Here is a 365-nt window from a genome sequence, read left to right as displayed (position 1 = left end):
CTCTCTGCTCTACTGCACTCTAAGTTCTGTGAATATTAATAGAAATTTATTTGTTGGATGGTTGACTGCTTAAATTCATCTGCCGTTCCTCGGTTGGAGTCATTCAGGCCATTAATGTTGAGCACGCGCCCACTCAAGTAGGGGCCAAGTGTAGGTCACAGGCATGCAGCCAGTGTGTGTAACTAAAGGTCAGACTTGTAAAATCCAGCACATAAGAGATGGTGTAATACCGCCTAAATTGATGATTTTGAATATATTTTAGGTGCAAAGTGATATAGCAGCAGCTGATTTTTCATTCACATTCAATAACCTTCAAGCCCCAGGTCTAACAACCACCTTCCTGTGAGTGTCACCTACTGCTCCTA

Source organism: Homo sapiens, chromosome 16 (assembly GCF_000001405.40).
Source record: "Homo sapiens chromosome 16, GRCh38.p14 Primary Assembly".
NCBI lineage: Eukaryota > Metazoa > Chordata > Mammalia > Primates > Hominidae > Homo > Homo sapiens.
The sequence above is the reverse complement of the archived record's forward strand: the minus strand, read 5'-3'. Positions refer to the sequence as shown.